At 53.0% G+C, this 19,787-nt stretch overlaps 1 protein-coding gene across 4 annotated transcripts, besides 1 other annotated feature; it reads left to right on the forward strand.

The window, feature by feature from the left end:
* Window positions 1–40: 40 nt before the first annotated feature.
* On the forward strand, window positions 41–19,464 carry CREB3L3 (cAMP responsive element binding protein 3 like 3). Of its 4 annotated transcripts, none has more exons than NM_032607.3 (10): window positions 41–184; window positions 1,309–1,437; window positions 3,405–3,705; window positions 6,074–6,192; window positions 10,913–11,050; window positions 14,761–14,867; window positions 16,550–16,618; window positions 17,501–17,585; window positions 17,793–17,889; window positions 18,066–19,464. In NM_032607.3, exons 1-10 carry the CDS (start codon window positions 158–160, stop codon window positions 18,377–18,379), a joined length of 1,386 nt encoding a protein of 461 aa, NP_115996.1. In that variant the 5' UTR covers window positions 41–157; the 3' UTR covers window positions 18,380–19,464. The 4 variants fall into 4 exon arrangements, with proteins under 4 accessions (NP_115996.1, NP_001258925.1, NP_001258924.1 ...); NM_001271996.2 differs by having other exon boundaries at window positions 10,919–11,050; NM_001271995.2 differs by having other exon boundaries at window positions 3,408–3,705.
* Window positions 18,142–18,436: a silencer, noted in NCBI's record as "tiled region #11650; K562 Repressive non-DNase unmatched - State 20:ReprD". NCBI's record gives its function as "represses a minimal TATA promoter and a strong SV40 promoter by Sharpr-MPRA in K562 cells {active_cell/tissue: K562}" and the evidence as "EXISTENCE:reporter gene assay evidence [ECO:0000049][PMID:27701403]".

The following is a 19,787-nucleotide window of genomic DNA, read 5'->3' on the forward strand; positions in this document are numbered from 1 at the left end:
GGAGCTGCCTGTGACCGCTTCAGCATCTTTTGGGAGTGGTGACAGAGCCACAGAGGGCTGTGAGCTTGCCCGGCCCCAGGTAACGCTGGCGGTGGGTGGGCCTCCAGCTTGGAGCAGAGACCCCCCGAGGCATCTGCAGACAGAACTGGATGGACCCATGAATACGGATTTAGCTGCTGGAAAGGTGAGCCCTACTAGGTCCCCAGGGAGAGCGGGAGTCTAGGCTGGGAAAGCCTACCCAAGCTGCCAGAGCTGGAAGGACCCCATCTCCACCCCTATTGTACAGATGGGAAGACTGAGGCCCAGAGAAAGGATGCAATGAGCAAAACTGTGTGCCTTTGCCCCGGGGCTGCCCTTGTCTTTCTTCCAGGTCCCCCTGCCTCCTAGGAGCGGGCACTTGGGGAGGCTGTGAAGGCCTGAGAGGCAAGCGGCATCTCTAGCTAGGGCCTCTCTCCAGCACTTTTTATTTTATTTTATTTTATTTTTATTTTTATTTTTTGAGATGGAGTCTCCCTCTGTCACCCAGGCTAGAGTGCAATGGCACGATCTCAGCTCACTGCAACTTCCACCTCCTGGGTTCAAGAGATCTTCCTGCCTCAGCCTCCCAAGTAGTTGGGATTACAGGTGTGCACCACCACGCCCGGCTAATTTTTGTACTTTTCCTAGAGACAGGGTTTCACCATGTTGGCTAGGCTGGTCTCAAACTCCTGACTTCAGGTGAGCTGCCCGCCTCGGCTTCCCAGAGTGCTGGGATTACAGATGTGAGCCACCGTGCCTGCCATACTTTTTTGTTTTTTGAAACAAGGTCTTGCTCTGTGACCCAGGGTGGAGTGCAGTGGGGTGGCCATAGCTCACTGCAGCCTCAACCTCCTGGGTTCAAGGGATCCTCCTACCTCAGCCTCCCCAGTAGCTGGGACGACAAGTGTGTGCCACCGCAGCCAGCTAATTTTTTTAAATTATTTGCAGTAGGGATAGGGGTCTCTATGTTGCGCAGGCTGGTCTTGAACTCCTGGGCTCAAGTGATCCTCCTGCCCCGGCCTCCCAAAGTGCTGAGATTACAGGCATGAGCCACCACATCCAGCCTCTCCAGCACTTTAAGAGAAATTGGCTCTCACACTGTGGAATTCTCTCTATCAGCCTCAAAGTCCAGATTTGGAAAGGGAGTCTCAGCGAGGGGCAGCAGCTGGCCCAACCCGGAGGCAGAGCGGCAACTGAACTCTAGCCGGAAAGAGCCAGGGTTATGTGCACATGGGAGGTGGGGAGGACAGGGGCTGTATGTGACCCTCACATCTGTTCCTCGCGCCCCAGATGGCTTCTGCTGCCTGCTCCATGGACCCCATCGACAGCTTTGAGCTCCTGGATCTCCTGTTTGACCGGCAGGACGGCATCCTGAGACACGTGGAGCTGGGCGAGGGCTGGGGTCACGTCAAGGACCAGGTGAGGAGTCCACTGCAGTTGCCCCGGGACCACAGAGCTCCAGGCGGGCCAACTGAGGCCCCACGAAGGTGCTAGACCCGCCAGAGCCCAGCCAGAGCTCTGCTCAGCTCTACGATGCACTAATGGGTCACGGTGCTTGATTTTAGCCAAGCACATCATTTAGCGGGTAGCATCAGCTCCTTCTTACAGGTGGGGAATGGAGGCCCAGAGCAGGGTGGAAACTCATCCAAAGTCACACAGCAATTTGGAGTTAGGTTCAAACTCAAACTTGGGGCATCTCCCTGGCTAGGTTCGGTTCTCTTCTCCTTCCTCTCCTTCCTTTCTCTCTTTCTTCTTCTTTTTTTTTTTTTTGAAGGAGTCTCGCTCTGTTGCCCAGGCTGGAGTGCAGTGGTGCCATCTCGGCTCACTGCAACCTCTGCCTCCCGGGTTCAAGCGATTCTCTTGCCTCAGCCTCCCAAGTAGCTGGGATTACAGGCGCCCGCCACTGCACCTGGCTAATTTTTGTATTTTTAGTAGAGATGGGTTTCACTATCCTGGCCAGGCTGGTCTTGAACTCCTGACCTTGTGATCCACCCACCTCAGCCTCCCAAAGTGCTGAGATTACAGGCGTGTGCCACCGCGCCCGGCCCACTTTCTTTTTTTTCTTTCTTTTCTCTCTCTTTTTCTCTTTCCTTCCTTCCTTCCTTCCTTTTTTCCTTCCTTTCTCCCTCTTTCTTTTACTCTCTTTTTTTTTTTTTGAGATAGAGTTTCACTCTTGTCACCCAGGCTGGAGCGCAATGGCGCGATCTTGGCTCACTGCAACCTCCGCATCCCAGGTTCAAGTGATTCTCCTACCTCAACTTCCCGAGTAGCTGGGATTACAGGCAGCCGCCACCACGCTCGGCTAATTTCTTGTGTTTTTAGTAGAGATGGGGTTTCACCATGTTGGCCAGGCTGGTCTTGAACTTCTGACCTCGGGTGATCCACCTGCCTTGGCCTCCCAAAGTGCTGGGATTATAGGCGTGAGCCACCACACCCGGCCCTTTTTTCTCTTTCTTTCTCTCTCTCTCTCGTTTCTCTCTCTCTCTCTCTCTCTCTCTCTCTCTCTCTCTCCCCCCCTCTCTCTCTGTCTCTCTCTCTCTCCCCCTCCCTCCCTTCCTCCCTTCCTCCCTTCCTTCCTCTCTCTCTCTCTTTCTTAGACAGAGTTTCGCTGTTGTTTTGCCCAGGCTGGAGTGCAATGGTGTGATCTTGGCATACCGCAACCCCCACCTCCCAGGTTCAAGTGATTCTCCTGCCTCAGCTTCCCGAGTAGCTGAGATTACAGGCATGTGCCACCATGCCTGGCTAATTTTGAATTTTTAGTAGAGACGGGGTTTCTCCCTGTTGGTCAGGCTGGTCTCAAACTCCCGACCTCAGGTGATCTGCCCGCCTTGGCCTCCCAAAGTGCTGGGATTACAGGCCTGAGCCACCGTGCCTGGCTCTTTTGTTTTTCTTTTTTTCTTTTTTTTTTTTTTTTGAGATGGAGTCTTGCTCTGTTGCCTAGGGTGGAGTGCGGTGGCGTGATCTCGGCTCACTGCAGCCTCCGTCTTACGGGTTCAGAATCTCCTTCCTCAGACTCCCGAGTAGCTGGGACTACAGATGCCCGCCACCACGCCCAGCTACTTTTTGTATTTTTAGAAGAAATGGGGTTTCATCATGTTGGCCAGGCGGATCTCGAACTCCTGACCTCAAGTGATTCGCCCTCCTCGGCCTCCCAAAGTGCTGGGATTACAGGCAGGAGCCACTGCACCTGGCACTGGCTGGGATTTTTATGCTATGTTACTGCGTTTGAGCCTCAGCAGCCCCGGGAGGAAGAAGCAGTAACTCATCTTGGAGAAGGGAAGGACACCTAAGGCCCAAAGAGGGTCACTGGTTTCCCTGGGGCCACACACTAATCTAAAAAGAGTGAGCACTTCCTAATTCCTACTACCCCTCCCTGTCCACCCCAGCAGGTCCTGCCAAACCCCGACTCTGACGACTTCCTCAGCTCCATCCTGGGCTCTGGAGACTCACTGCCCAGCTCCCCACTCTGGTCCCCCGAAGGCAGTGATAGTGGCATCTCCGAAGACCTCCCCTCCGACCCCCAGGACACCCCTCCACGCAGCGGACCAGCCACCTCCCCCGCCGGCTGCCATCCTGCCCAGCCTGGCAAGGGGCCCTGCCTCTCCTATCATCCTGGCAACTCTTGCTCCACCACAACCCCAGGGCCAGTGATCCAAGTACCTGAAGCCTCTGTGACCATAGACCTGGGTGAGTCCTGCTGTGTCTCTGCCCACCGCCCTCACCTTGTTCCAGGGCCCTTCCTGTAAGTGAGGAAATGGAGGCCCAGAGAGGGCTGGCATCTTGTCCAAGGTCACACAGCAATTTGGAGCTGGGCCCAGACTCAAACTCAGGACACGTGTCTCCCTTGGCTAGGTGTTTCCATGCTTTCACGTGGATGCTATTGGGAGCCCATTTTCCAGATCGTGAAACAGTCCTGTCAGGTTGAGCAATGAGCTAAAACCACAGAGCTAGGATGCAACCCCGGCAGGTGGCTCAGGCACCAGGCATGGTGCTGACAAGCACAGCCCAAAGTCAGGGTCTTGCCTTCTACGTGTCTGTACCCCGTGCCTGGTTCCTAGTAGATTTTTTTTTATTTTTTATTTATTTTTATTTTTTGAGACAGAGTTTCACTCTGTCACCCAGGCTGGAGTAAAGTGGCGCGATCTCGGCTCACTGCAACCTCTGCCTTCCAGGTTCAAGCAATTCACCTGCCTCAGCCTCCTGAGTAGCTGGGATCACAAGCATATGCCACCATGCCCAGCTAATATTTATTTTTTAGTAGAGACGAGGTTTCACCATGTTGGCCAGGCTGGTCTTGAACTCCTGAGCTCAGGTGATCTGCCCACCTCAGCCTCCCAAAGTGCTGAGATTACAGGTGTGAGCCGCTCCACCCAGCCTGTAGATGCTCAATAAAAGTGCATGAGGTTACCAGGTCCTAGGTTCCAGGGTGCTCCTCCTAGACGTGGGGAACAGCAGATCAGTAATGATTTACTCTATTGATTAAGCATTCCCGGCGGGCCAGGCAGAGCCCTGGCTGGAGATACTTGGCCTCTGGGTGGCCTTTGTCCCTTGACCCTTGCTATGAGCTCTTCTTGGTCCCATTGGAGAGTTGACAAAACTGAGGCTCAGGCCCGGAGCGGTGACTCATGCCTGTAATCCCAGCACTTTGGGAGGCTGAGGCAGGCGGATCACTTGAGGTTAGGACTTCAAGACCAGCCTGGCCAACATGGTGAAACCCCATCTCTACTAAAAATACAAAATTAGCCGGGCATGGTGGGGGCCACCTGTAGTCCCAGCTACTCAGGAGCCTGAGGCAGGAGAATCACCTGAACCCGGGAGGCGGAGGTTGCAGTGAGCTGAGATCATGCCACTGCACTCCATCCTGGCTGACAGAGCCAGACTCTGTCTCGAAAAAAAGCCAAAAACAAAAAATGCTGGGCACAGTGGTTCACGCCTGTAATCCCAGCACTTTGGGAGGCCGAAGCGAGCGGATCACGAGGTCAAGAGATCGAGACCATCCTGGCCAACATGGTGAAACCTCTGTCTCTACTAAAAATACAAAAATTAGCTGGGTGTGGTGGCAGGCGCCTGTAGTCTCAGCTACTCGGGAGGCTAAGGCAGGAGAATCTCTTGAACCTGGGAGGTGGAGGTTGCGGTGAGCCAAGATTGCCACACTGCTCTCCAGCCTGGCGACAGAGCGAGACTCCGTCTCAAAAAAAAAAAAAAAAAAAAATCTGAGGCTCAGAGAGGTGAAGTCACTTACTCAAGGTCACACAGCCCTGCCCAACCAGGATTAGAACCAAGGGTTACCTGACCCAAAGTTTGTGTGCTGGGACAGCATGCCTACTGCATGCCGGCTACCAGGAGGGGACAACCAGAGGTGAATCAGACCTCGTCCCTGCCCCTTGGGTGAGATAACGCCTGGCTGGCTGCAAATCTAGCCTGTAATTCTGTGTGATAACAGCCACTCCCTTTTGAATCAGCCGGTGTCTCCTGACAATGTCCTGTGTCTTCCTCAGCCTTGTGGGACGGACAGAACCAAGCCCTGTTGAATTTGGGTCCCCATCTTTTTTTTTTTTTTGAGATGGAGTCTCGCTGTGTCACCCAGGCTGGAGGGCAGTGCCACATTCTCAGCTCACTGTAACGTCCACCACCCGGGTTCAAGTGATTCTCCTGCCTCAGCCTCCCGAGCAGCTGGGATTACAGGTGCACGCCACCAGGCCCGGCTAATTTTTGTATTTTTAATAGAGATGGGATTTCACCATGTTGGCCAGGCTGGTCTTGAACTCCTAACCTCAGATGATCCGCCTGCCTTGGCCTCCCAAAGTGCTGGGAATACAGGCGTGAGCCACCATGACTGGCTGGGTTCCCATCTTATAGCAGAGGGGAGACCGAGTCACTAGTGAGGGCTGCCCCCTTCAACTCAGGCCTTGGGGACTCCAAACTCTGGCAGAAGTCATATGAATGTTGGGATTAATCATGGGAGACTTGGTGGAGGAGGCGGTTAGAGGCTGGAAGCTCAGGACTCCCCCCGTCTGACACTCTCCCTGTCTCCGTCCCCACCTGCCCTGGTCAGAAATGTGGAGCCCAGGAGGAAGGATCTGTGCTGAGAAGCCGGCTGATCCGGTGGACCTGTCCCCACGATGCAATCTCACCGTGAAAGACCTCCTCCTTTCGGGCAGCAGTGGGGACCTGGTGAGCACCCCCACACCCTCCCATGGGGCGTTGGAGCTGGGAGGGCTGCTCGGGTTCGAGGAGCCTAAATATCCCCGTTTCAGAGACTGGAAAACTGAGTCACAGAAAGGCGTGGAATTTGCCCACAGTTAGAGACCATTCCAGTCCTGGGCTCACTGTCGCCTGGGCTGGGGTGTCTTCCTCTGTAGTACTTAGTAGTAACAATAGCAACAACAACTAAAAGCTAAAACTGGCTGAGTGTGGTGGTTCACACCTGTAATCCCAGCACTTTGGGAGGCCAAGGCAGGCAGATCGCTTGAGCTCAGGAGTTTGAGACCAGCCTGGGCAACATGGTGAAACCCCATCTATACAAAAAATACAAAAATTAGCCTGGCATGGTGGCACATGCCTGTGGTCCCAGCTACTCGGGAGGCTGAGGTGGAAGGATCGCTTGAGCCCAGGAGGTCAAGGCTGCAGTGAGCTGTGATTGTACCACTGCACTCCAGCCTGGCCAACAGACCAGGACTGTCTCAACAATAACAACAACAAAAAGAACAAAGCTAAAACTGAGGCTGCACCTGCTATATGCCAGGCGCTCTTTATTTATCATCTTAAAAAAGTTTTTTTTGAGACAGGATCTCACTCTATCGCCCAGGCTGGAGTGCAGTGGCGCAATCCTAGCTCACTGCAGCCTCAAACTCCTGGCCTCAAGCGATCCTCCTGCCTCAGACTCCCAAGTAGCTGGGACTACAGGCGTGCACCACCACACCCAGCTAATTTTTCTTGTCTTTTTTATTTTATTTTATTTTTCTGAGACAGAATCTTGCTCTGTTGCCCAGGCTGGAGTGCAGTGGTGCAATCTCGGATCACTGCCACCTCTGCCTCCCGGGTTCAAGTGATTCTCCTGCCTCAGCCTCCCAAGTAGCTGAGATTACAGGCATGCACCACCAGGCCTGGCTAATTTTGTTTTTCTTTTTTCTTTTTTTTTTTGAGATGGCGTCTTGCTCTGTCACCTAGGCTGGAGTGCAGTGGCGTGATCTCGGCTCACTGCAAGCTCCGCCTACCGGGTTCACACCATTCTCCTGCCTCAGCCTCCCCAGCAGCTGGGACTACAGGAGCATGCCGCGCCACCTGTCTAATTTTTCTTTTCTTTTTTTTTTTTTTTTTTGAGACGGAGTCTTGCTCTGTCACCTAGGCTGGAGTGCAGTGGCGTGATCTCGGCTCACTGCAAGCTCCGCCTACCGGGTTCACACCATTCTCCTGCCTCAGCCTCCCGAGTAGCTGGGACTACAGGCGCCCGCCACCACACCTGGCTGATTTTTTGTATCTTTTTAGTAGAGATGGGGTTTAACTGTATTAGCCAGGATTTTTTTTGTATTTTTAGTGGAGACAGGGTTTCATCATGTTAGCCAGGATGGTCTCGATCTCCTGACCTCGTGATCTGCCCACCTCGGCCTCCCAAAGTGCTGGGATTACAGGCGTGAGCCACCGTGCCCCGTTTAGACCCAGCTGATTTTTCTTTTAATTTTTTTCTGTAGATATGGGTCTTGCTATGTTTCCCAGGCTGGTCTTGAACTCGTAGCCTCAAGTGATCCTCCTGCTTTGTCCTCTCACAGTGCTGGATTATAGGCATGAGCTACTGCGCCCCGCCTGGGGCTTTTATTATCTTAATTTTACATAGGAGAAAAAGGGCACAGAGAGGTTCAGTCATTTGCCCAATGCTACACAGCTGATGCAGGCTTGATCCCTGGGATGGTCTATTGAGCTTATGGTGCCCATTGCACACCAATTGAAGGCCATCTACCCTGCCAAGGGCTTCACGCTCCCATAAGCCAGGTTTGACAACCCAAACCCATTTTGCAGATGAGAAGGTAGGTCAAGGCCCAGAGAGGTTAAGCCATGAGCCCTAAGTCACACAGCATGCAAGTGGCAGACTCAGGGTTTTGAAATCCTGTTTCTCCAATGCCAAAGGTTATCCTGATAATCTCTAGTGAAGGCCAGGGTGCCCCTGGCAACTAGAGGGATATGCAGTGAGCACCAGCTGTGTGCTCAGCCTCTAGGATCTGATGGTCAGGATGGGGCGATGTACTGTTCATTAAGGTGTACAGAAAAGAAAGAGAGCCTGCAGGGTCACTGCAGATCCAGGAAGGCTTCCCGGAGGAGGCAGTACTTCAGCAGGCCATGAAGGAAGGGAAAGGAGAATGAACGACTGCTTTGGCAATGATAACTGGCTTATTTTGTTTTATTTTATTTGTTTATTTTTTGAGACAGAGTCATGGTCCGTCGTCCAGGCTAAGTGCAGTGCCACAGTCTCGGCTCACTGTAGCCTCCACCTCCTGGGCTCAAGTGATTCTCATACCTCAGCCCCCAGGTAGCTAGGACTACAGGTGCCTGCCACCATGCCCGACTAATTTTTGTATTTTTAGTAGAGACGGGGTTTCACCATGTTGGTCAGGCTGGTCTCGATCTCCTGACATCAGGTGATCCACCCGCCTCAGCCTCCCAAAGTGCTGGGATTACAGGCATGAGCCACTGTGCCTGGCCTTATTTTATTTTATTTAAAGTCAAGGTTTCCCTCTGTCACCACAACTGCCTCAAATTCCTAAGCTCAAGTGATCCTCCTGCCTCGACCTCCCATTTTTTTTGTATAGCTGACATACAGAACAACGATACAAAAAAAAATGATGCATTTATAAATGCTAGTTATCAGCAGTTGAAGACCAGCCTGGGCAACATAGCAAGACCTCGTCTCTACAAAAAAAAAAAAAAAAAATTAGCTGAGTGTGGTGGCGCACACCTGTAGTCCCAGCTACTCAGGAGGCAGAGGCAGGAGGATCACTTGAGCTCAGGAGGTCAAGGCTGCAGTTAGCTATGATCACACGACTGCACTCCAGCCTGGGTGACACAGTGACATCTTGCATCTTAAAAGAAGAAAAGATGGGTGTGGTGGCTCATGCCTGTAATCCCAGGAATTTGGGAGGCTGAAGTGGACAGATTGCTTGAGCCCAGGAGTTTGAGACCAGCCTGGGCAACAGAGTGAAACCCCATCTCTACAAAAAATTCAAAATTAGCCAAGCATGGCGGTACGCTCTGTGGTTCCAGCTACTCGGGAAGCTGAAGCTGGAGAATCGCTTGAGCCCGGGAGGCGGAGGTTGCAGTGAGCCAAGAGAGCACCACGGCACTCCAACCCGGGTGAAGTAGCAAGACCCTATTTCAAAAATAATAATAGTAATAATACAATGAAAAGAAGAAAGCTGTCAAAAGGGCCGGGCGCGGTGGCTCACGCCTGTGATCCCAGCACTTTGGGAGGCCGAGGCGGGCAGATCACGAGGTCAGGAGATCGAGACCTTCCTGGCTAACACGGTGAAACCCCGTCTCTACTAAAAATAACAAAAAATTAGCCGGGCGTGGTGGCGGGCACCTGTAGTCCCAGCTACTCAGGAGGCTGAGGCAGGAGAATGGCGTGAACCCGGGAAGCAGAGCTTGCAGTGAGCCGAGATCGCGCCACTGCACTCCAGCCTGGGCGACAGAGCGAGACTCGTCTAAGAAAGAAAGAAAGAAGAAAGAAAAGAAAGAAAGAAAGAAAGAAAGAAGGAAGGAAGGAAGGAAGGAAAGAAAGAAAGAACCCTGTCCATATGCCATTTTGCGCGTGTGTGAGGATATCTGTAGGACTGATTTCTGAAGGTAGAATGACCCGGTCAAAGGACCGTGTGTTGGTTATTTCGAGCCCTGCTGCCAAGGGAGATTCTGTGGTGGCAGGAGTGATAGTTTTTGTTGTTGCTGTTTTGAGACAGAATTTCTGTCGCCCAGGCTGGATCTCAGATCACTGCAACCCCTGCCTCCCGGGTTCAAGCGGTTCTTCTGCCTCAGCCTCCCGAGTAGCTGGGATTGCAGGCACGTGCCACCACACCAGGCTGATTTTTGTATTTTTAATGGAGACAGGGTTTCACCATGTTGGCCAGGCTAGTCTCGAACTCCTGACCTCAAGTGATCCACCTGCCTCGGCCTCCCAAAGTGCTGGGACTACAGACGTGAGCCACCTTTTCTTTTTTTTTTTTTTTGAGACAGAGTCTTACTCTGTCTCTCAGGCTGGAGTGCAGTGGTGTGATCTGGGCTCACTGGAACCTCTGCTTCCCGGGTTCAAGCAGTTCTCCTGCCTCAGCCTCCTGAGTAGCTGGGATTACAGGCGCCGCCACCATGGTCGGGTAATTTTTTTTTTTTTTTTTTTTTGAGACGGAGTCTCATACTGTCACTAGGGCTGGAGTGCAGTGGCACAATCTCGGCTCACTGCAACCTCTGACTTCTGGGTTCAAGCGATTCTCCTGCCTCAGCCTCGCAAGTAGCTGGTATTACAGGCACCCGCCACTACGCCCAGCTAACTTTTTGTATTTTTAGTAGAGACGGGGTTTCACCATGTTGACCAGGATGGTCTCAAACTCCTGACCTAGTGATTTGCCCACCTCGGCCTCCCAAAGTGCTGGGATTACAGGCATGAGCCACCGCACCTGGGCAATTTTTGTATTTTTAGTAGAGACGAGGTTTCATCATGTTACCCAGGCTGGTCTCGATCTCCTGAGCTCAAGTGATCCACATGCCTCAGCCTCTCTAAGTGCTGGGATGACAGGCGTGAGCCACCACACCCAGCCTGGGGTGATAGTGTTTTCGATCTGATACCTCTTTCATTTCCTGAAGGCAGTTGGCGTCCCTGCACCCGCCGTCATTCCTCTGATTTTTTCCGTAGCAACAGCATCACCTGGGGGCCTCCTACCTCCTGCGACCTGGGGCTGGGCACTGTCAGGAGCTGGTGCTCACCGAGGATGAGAAGAAGCTGCTGGCTAAAGAAGGCATCACCCTGCCCACTCAGCTGCCCCTCACTAAGGTGAGTCTGGGGGGACTTCCAGCCCTGGATCCATCTCCCCTTCGTGCACTTACCTGCATGTGTGTCCCACCTTTATTTATTTATTTAGAGTAGAGTCTTTCTCTGTCACTGAGGCTGGGATGCAGTGGCACGATCTCAGCTTGCTGCAACCTCTGCCTCTCAGATTCCAGCGATTCTCCCGCCTCAGCCTCCTGAGTAGCTGGGATTACAGCCATGCGCCACCACGCCCAGCTAATTTTTGTATCTTTAGTAGAGACAGGGTTTCACCATGTTGGCCAGGCTGGTCTCGAGCTCCTGACCTCATGTGATCCTCCTGCCTCGGTCTCCCAAAGTGCTGGGATTCCAGGCGTGAGCCACCGCACTGGCTATGTGTCTCACCTTTAGAACACCCGTACTAGAATGCTATGCTGTGTCTGTCACCAGAGCCAAAACAATCAGTCAGAAGCCCCATTGTAAATTCAACTCAGAGGGTAATTATCAACATCCAGGAATGAATGGCGGACTCCAGGTGGCAGCAATTTGGGTGCAGCAAACTTTTTTTTTTTTTTGGAGATAGGGTCTTGCTGTGTCCCGCTGGAGTGCAGTGGTGCCATCATAGCTCACTTCAGCCTTGACCTCCTGGGCTCAAGAGATCCTCCCGCCTCAGCCTCTCAAGTAGCTAGGATGACAGGTGCACGCCACTACACTTGGCTAATTTAATTTTTTTTTTTTTTTTGTAGAAATGGGGTCTTGTTATGTTGCCCAGGCTGGGCTGGGACTCCTGGGTTCAAGTGATTCTCCCACCTTGGCCTCCCAAAGTGTTGGGATTACAGGCATGAGCCATCATGCCTGGCCCTGCAGACATGTTTTGATTGGACTGTACTGCATTTTATACATTTTTGAATTGCTTGATAATGTTTTTCTGACCGGTAGATTTTACAAGAGAACTCAGTGACTTGAGGCTGGGCACGGTGGCTCACACCTGTAATCCCAGCACTGTGGGAGGCTGAGGCAGAGGATCACTTGAGGTCAGGAGTTCGAGACTAGCCTGGCCAACATGGTGAAACCCCGTCTCTACTAAAATTACAAAAATTAGCTGTGCCTGGTGGTGGGCAACTGTAAGGTGCTTCTCAGCCTCCCAGCTTCTCAGGAGGCTGAGGCAGGAGGATCTCCCTTGAACCCGGGAGGTGGAGGTTGCAGTGAGCCGAGATGGTACCACTGCACTCCAGCCTGGGTGACAAGAGCGAAACTCTGTCAAAACAAAAACAAAAACAAAAAAACTAAAAACATAAACAAAACAAAATCCAAAAAACCAACTCAATTACTTGAATGTCCTCTGTTTCATATTCTCAAACCTCCATATGCACCAGTCAATGGCTGGGTAGCTGTTTGGGTTCTCTAGCTAACCACAGTCCCCACCCAGCCTGCTGCACTCAGTATCAATGCCTGAGTTTGATATTCTCATCTGTTTTTTTTTTTTTTCTATTGAGACAGGTTCTGACTCTGTTGCCCAGGCTGGAGTGGAGTGAGGTGATCTTGGCTCACTCCAACTTCCCCCTCTGGAGTACAAGTGATTCTCCCACATCAGCCTCCCTAGCAGCTGGGACTACAGGTGTATGCCATTATGCCTAGCTAATTTTTTTTTTTTTCCTGAGACGGAGTTTCGCTTTTGTTGCCCAGGCTGGAGTGCAGTGGCGCGATCTCGGCTCACTGCAACCTCCGCTTCCCAGGTTCAAGTGATTCTCCTGCCTCAGCCTCCTAAGTAGCTGGGATTACAGGCACGCGCCACCACGCCTGGCTAATTTTTTTTTTTTTTTTTTTTTTTGAGTAGAGACAGAGTTTCACCATGTTGGCCAGGATGGTCTCGATCTCTTGACCTTGTGATCTGCCCAGCTCAGCCTCCCAAAGTGTTGGGATTACAGGTGTGAGCCACTGCGCCCAGCATTTTTTTTTTTCCTTAGAGACAGGGTCTTGCTATGTTGCCCAGGCTGGTCTCAAACTCCTGGCCTCAAGCAGTCCTCTGACCTTGGCCTCCCAAAGTGTTAAGATTACAGGTGTGAGCCACCGTGCCTGGCCCCATCTGTTTCTATTGTTGTTGTTGTTTGTTTTGAGATAGGATCTCACTTTGTCGCTCAGGCTGGAGTGCAGTGGTACAATCTGCAGGTAGCAGCTAACTGCAACCTTGAACTCCTGGTCTCAAGGGATCCTCCTGCCTCAGCCTCCCAAGTAGCTGGGACTATAGGCATGCACCACCACACCCAGCTGATTTTGTGGTTGTTGTTTTGTTTTAGTAGAGACAGGGTCTTTACTAAATGTTGCCCAGTCTAGTCTTGAACTCCTGGACTTATGCGATCCTCTTGCCTTGGCCTCCCAAAGTGCTGGGATTACAGCACTGTGAACCACCGCGCCCAGCCTGACATTCCCATTTGAAGACACTTATTGGCCGGGTGTGGTGTCTCATGCCTGTAATCCCAGCTCTTTGGGAGGCAAAGATGGGCGGATCACCTGAGGTCAGGAGTTTGAGACCAGCCTGGCCAACATGGTGAAACCCTGTCTCTACTAAAAATACAAAAATTAGCCAGGCATGGTGTTGTGCACCTGTAATCCCAGCTACTTGGGAAGCTGGGGTGGGAGAATCACTTGAACCCTGGGGGTGGAGGTTGCAGTGAGCTGAGATCTTGCCACTGCACTCCAGCCTGGGTGACAAGAGCGAAACAAGAAAGAAAGAAAGAAAGAGAGAGAGAGAGAGAGAGAGAAAAGGAAGGAAAGAAAAGAAAGAAAGAAAGAAAGGAAAAGAAAGAAAAGAAAGAAAGAAAGGAAAGAAAGAAAGGAAGAAAAGAAGGAAAGAAAGGAAGAAAAGGAAAGAAAGAGAGAAAGAGAAAGAGAAAGAGAGAAAGAGAGAAAGGGAGAAAGGAAGGAAGGGAGGGAGGGAGGGAGGGAGGGGAAAAGAAAGGAAAGAAAAGAAAGAAACGTAAGAAAGAAGAAAAAAATTATTAATTAGTCTTAAAACACTTGCTGTCGCCAGGGAAAGGTGATGTTTCCAGGGATGGCCACAAGGTGGTGGAGTGGTACCCATGCCCAAAGTCTGGTGGGCAGTTGCCCATTTTACAGTATTGGGAGCTGGGAAAAGACCCTCAGAACCCAGGCACCTCCCAGAGACTCTGTGAGGGTTTGGGCAAAGGGTAGCTTCAAGTCATTAGGAATCTGCCTCTGGGTCCTTGGCTCCGGGATGTCTTGTATGCAAAGAGGATGGGGTGAAGTTGTGGGGTCGAGGTTAGGTGAAGTGGGGTCAGGACAGTGGGGACTGTCGCACCATCCCCAAAGTGAAGACTTTAATTTTTTAATTTTAATTATTTTATTTATTTATTTATTTATTTATTTATCTATTTATTTATTGAGATGGAGTTTCGCTCTTGTTGCCCAGGCTGGATTGCAATGGCACGATCTTGGCTCACTGCAACCTCCGCCTCCCGGGTTCATGCCATTCTCCTGCCTCAGCCTCCCGAGTAGCTGGGATTACAGGCACCCGCCACCATGCCTGGCTAATTTTTGTATTTTTAGTAGAGACGGTGTTTCACCATGTTGGCCAGGCTGGTCTCGAACTCCTGACCTCAGGTGATACGCCTGCCTCGGCCTCCCAAAGTGCTGGGATTACAGGCGAGAGCTACTGCCCCCGGACTCCAAGTGGGGACTTTCTGGCCTGAAACCCTCCTCCCCATTTCACTTGGCAGTACGAGGAGCGAGTGCTGAAAAAAATCCGCCGGAAAATCCGGAACAAGCAGTCGGCGCAAGAAAGCAGGAAGAAGAAGAAGGAATATATCGATGGCCTGGAGACTCGGTGGGTAGTGCTGGACCCAGACTCTACACTCGTGGAGGAAACTGAGGCCCAGAGAGAAGGAGATGTGGCTAAGGCCACACAGCTTAGAGTCTGACAAAATTGGAGGTGATTCTCCTCTCTGGGAGAGATCATGCTTCTTACTGATTGCAGGGATGGAAAGATGCCTAGTGATGGTGTAGGACAAGGGTTTGGGGGACCCTTTGCCCCCTAGAAGGTGTGCGGAAAAAGGACAAAGTGTGACCCATCCTATTCTGACCCTCTGCCTGAAGATAGACACTTCCTTTTTGTGTGTGTGGAAGGGTCTCCTTCTATCACCCAGGCTGGAGTGCAGTGGTGCGATCTTGGCTCACTGCAACCTCCACCTCCCGGGTTCAAGCGATTCTCCTGCCTCAGCCTCTCCAGAAGCTGGGATTACAGGTGCATGGCCACCACGCCCAGCTAATTTCTTTGTATTTTTGGTAGAGATGGGGTTTCACTGTGTTGCCCAGGCTAGTCTCAAACTCCTGACCTCAGGTGATCTGGCCGCCTCAGCCTCCCAAAGTGCTGGGATTACAGGCGTGAGCCACTGCGCCTGGTCTCTCCCCTTTCTTAAATGCAATCTGCTAAGCTCCTGATCATCTTTATCCAGGGTCATTCCCCCCACCACCCTATGTCCTGGGTAATTGTATCCCATTTTACAGACACAAAAGCTGAGATCAGAGAGTGGAGTGGCCCAAGGTCATGGGGAGAGGGAGAGATGAAACTTGAATCTCGGCCGGGCGCCGTGGCTCACACTTGTAATCCCAGCACTTTGGGAGGCTGAGGCAGGCGGATCACGAGTTCAGGAGATCGAGACCACGGTGAAACTCTGTCTTTACAAAAAATCCAAAAAAATTAACTGGGCTTGGTGGCGGGTGCCTGTAGTCCCAGCTACTCGGGAGGCTGAGGCAGGAGAATGGCGTGAACCCAGAAGGCAGAGCTTGCAGTGAGTCGAGATTGTGCCACTGCATTCCAGCCTGGGCGACAGAGCGAGACTCCATCTCAAAAAACAAACAAACAAAAAAAGAAACTTGAGTCTCCCAGGATGCCTGGTTGTCCTGATATTTCATCTTCTGGAAACATCACTGCCTGAATCTAGGAGGCTCAGCTTTTTTTTTTTTTTTTTTTTTTTTGACACAGAGTTTCATTCTTGTTGCCCAGGCTGGAGTGCAATGGTGCGATCTTGACTCACTGCAACCTCCACTTCCCGGGTTCAATCGATTCTCCTGCCTTAGCCTCCCAAGTTCCCAAGTAGCTGGAATTATAGGCGCCCACCACCACACCTGGCTAATTTTGCATTTTTAGTACAGGCAGGGTTTCACCATGTTGGCCAGGCTGGTCTTGAACTCCTGACCTCAGGTGATCCGCCCACCACGGCCTCCCAAAGTGCTGGGATTACAGGTGTGAACCACCACACCCATCCAGGGGGCTCAGCTTTGAATGAAGCCCCCTCCATATTAATGCAGAAATGGGACCTAGGAACCAGGCAGATGTGGGTTCAAATCCCAGCCCTGTCTGACCTGCCGAGTAACCTTGGATGAATGACTTCCCCTCTCTGGCCTTGGGTTCTCTTGGCTTGTAACGTGAGGCCTCTGGGGGAGATGTCAGTGGGGCCAGCTGGTGACTGGCATATGCTGAATGTCGATGCGTCTTCCTCCTTTCAGGATGTCAGCTTGCACTGCTCAGAATCAGGAGTTACAGAGGAAAGTCTTGCATCTCGAGAAGCAAAACCTGTGAGTCTGGGTCCAGCTGGGGCAGAGGACAGGGGAAGCAGCCCCAGAGTCCCTTTGCAGGAAGAGCAGAGAGCCCATGTGATGGCAGAATGACATAGGGAATAAGAGTTTTACCTATGGGCCGCGTGCAGTGGCTCACGCCTGTAATCTCAGCACTTTGGGAGGCCGAGGCGGGTGGATCACCTGAGGTCAGGAGTTCAAAACCAGCCTGGCCAACATGGTGAAACCCCGTCTCTACTAAAAATACAAAAAAATTAGCCAGGCGTGGTGGCGGGCACCTGCAGTCCCAGCTACTCGAGAGGCTGAGGCAGGAGAATTGCTTGAACTCGGGAGGCGGAGGTTGCCGTGAGCCGAGATCGCACCACTGCACTCCAGCCTGGGTGACAGAGCAAGGCTCTGTCTCAAAAATAAATAAATAAGGCCTGGTGTGGTGGCTCACGCCTGTAATCCCAGCACTTTGGGAGGCTGAGGTGGGCGGATCACAAGGTCGGGAGATCAAGACCATCCTGGCTAACACGGTGAAACCCCGTCTCTACTAAAAATACAAAAAAAATTAGCTGGGTGTGGTGGTGGGCGCCTGTAGTCCCAGCTACTCGGGAGGCTGAGGCAGGAGAATGGTGTGAACCTGGGAGGCGGAGCTTGCAGTGAGCTGCCATCCCACCACTCACTCCAGCCTGGGCGATGGAGCAAGACTCTGTCTCAAAATAAATAAATAAATAAATAAACAAATAAATAAATAAATAAAATAAATAATAAAGAGCCAGAGGCCCTTGAAGAATGGATGGAATTTGGACTTTAGCGGGGCTGGGGGACCCCGGAAATGGACGAGAAGCAGAACCGAGGCCCTTTAGGGCTCAGCGGAGGCCTGCCTGTCTCTCTAAGGTCCCTCTTGGAGCAACTGAAGAAACTCCAGGCCATTGTGGTGCAGTCCACCAGCAAGTCAGCCCAGACAGGCACCTGTGTCGCAGTGAGTCCTGGTGCCCCCAGGCAAGCCGGGGACCTAGGCTTCTGTAGAGGGGCCCATAGGGAGGTGACAATGAGTCCAAGCTCTCCTTGTGCCCCAGCTCAAGTATGATCCAGTCTGGTCTTTGGGGCCTCAGTTTCCCTGCCTGTGGGATGGAGATGCTTGCAGGGGAGGGGAGGGAGGGGGTGACTCTGCCGCTGTCTCCACCAGGTCCTGTTGCTGTCCTTTGCCCTCATCATCCTCCCCTCCATCAGCCCTTTTGGCCCCAACAAAACCGAGAGCCCTGGGGACTTTGCGCCTGTACGAGGTAGGGGATCCCCACCTTTGAAACCCTTGTCTGGTCTCCCCAAGTCCCCGTCCTGGGCCTCTGGGGGAGGGGGAGAAGACCCCTGTGCCCTTGTTCCCTGAGGCTGGGGGCCAGGGAAGGGAGCATAGGACCCCACCTCCACCTTGTCCCCTGTGATGCCCCCCTTCCCCAATCAGTGTTCTCCAGAACTTTGCACAACGATGCTGCCTCCCGCGTGGCTGCTGATGCTGTGCCAGGCTCCGAGGCCCCAGGACCCCGACCCGAGGCTGACACAACCCGAGAAGAGTCTCCAGGAAGCCCCGGGGCAGACTGGGGCTTCCAGGACACCGCGAACCTGACCAATTCGACGGAGGAGCTGGACAACGCCACCCTGGTCCTGAGGAATGCAACAGAGGGGCTGGGCCAGGTCGCCCTGCTGGACTGGGTGGCGCCTGGGCCGAGCACTGGCTCAGGACGTGCAGGGCTGGAGGCGGCGGGAGACGAGCTGTGAGCCCCGCCAGGACTATGCTCCCAGGCCCCTCTGCCCAGGGGTGCCTTGGGGATGCTGCACTGGGCAGCTACCCACCTGGGGATGGGACGTGAGGCCAAGACCCCAGCAGAGATGCCAGAATGGGGGAGGCACAGCTCATAGCCACACACCCAGGGCCTGACTGAGGCCCACGCAGGAACCGACACTCAGACACAAGGCAAAGAGGGCCACAGGACCCGGGAAATACACACAGAGCCAGGAGCAGAAGCAAAGAGCAGACACACATACAGCCTGAAACAGACCTGGACAGACAGACACAGCCTGAAACAGACCCGGACAGACAGACACAGCCTGAAACAGACCCAGACAAACAGACAGACAGACACAGCCTGAAACAGACCCAGACAGACAGACAGACAGCCTGAAACAGACCCAGACACAGCCTGAAACAGATCCGGACAGACAGACAGAAACAGCCTGAAACAGACCCAGACAGACAGACAGACACAGCCTGAAACAGACCCGGACAGACAGACAGACACAGCCTGAAACAGACCCGGACAGACAGACAGACACAGCCTGAAACAGACCCGGACAGACAGACAGACACAGCCTGAAACAGACCTAGACAGACAGACACAGATTGAAACAGACCCAGACAAACAGACAGACACAGCCTGAAACAGACCCAGACACAGCCTGAAACAGACCCGGACAGACAGACAGACACAGCCTGAAACAGACCCAGACAGACAGACAGACACAGCCTGAAACAGACCCAGACAGACAGACCGACGCAGCCTGAAAGAGACCCAGACAGAGAGACAGGCAGACACAGCCTAAAACAGACCTGGACAGACAGGCAGACGTAGTCTGAAACAGACCTGAACAGACAGACAGACGCACACACACAACAGATGCGCAGCAACTCCCCGCCCAGGGACCCCTCCCGGCCTCCCTCGCACACTGGGAGGAGGAAGCCGCCGAGACTGCAGGGAGCCTGGCCCCGGAGCCCCGGGTGCGCCCTGGTCTTTGGAGCAGCCACGGCCCACAATCACCCCCCTTTTCTAAGACTGCCTGATCCGAAATAAAGTATTTTGACAGAACCTTGTTTTGGTGTGGAGGCGGAGTCTGGGGCTCCTCGACTCCCCAGAAGGAGGGGCTGGGCCAGCCTGGGATGGGTGAGTGAGGTGTGGGCTCCACACCCCCGCCAGATGCCCGCGCTGGAGCAGCGGAGGGAGAGGCGCCGGGCACGACTTCAGCACCTTGGAGAGCGGCGGCGGGCGGAGTGCGGGGAGGCAGGCGTGGCGCTTCCAAGGTGTCCCCTCCGGAGTTGCGGGGAAGGCAGCTGCCTTCCCGGGGATCTGGGCGGCCCACCCTGCTCATTTTGCGGGCGAGGACACCGAGGCGTCGGAAGTGGAGGGACTGC

This window comes from Homo sapiens, chromosome 19 (genome assembly GCF_000001405.40).
Source record: "Homo sapiens chromosome 19, GRCh38.p14 Primary Assembly".
In the NCBI taxonomy this organism is placed as follows: Eukaryota; Metazoa; Chordata; class Mammalia; order Primates; family Hominidae; genus Homo; species Homo sapiens.

What these genes read in the sequence shown, in the direction of transcription:
- CREB3L3 (NM_032607.3), top strand. Translation starts at nt 158, where the DNA reads ATGAATACGGATTTAGCTGCTGGAAAG. An exon ending in CGGGCAGCAGTGGGGACCTG is followed by an intron (nt 6,193 to 10,912) that starts GTGAGCACCCCC and finishes TTTTTTCCGTAG; the next exon opens with CAACAGCATCACCTGGGGGC. An exon ending in ATCGATGGCCTGGAGACTCG is followed by an intron (nt 14,868 to 16,549) that starts GTGGGTAGTGCT and finishes TCCTCCTTTCAG; the next exon opens with GATGTCAGCTTGCACTGCTC.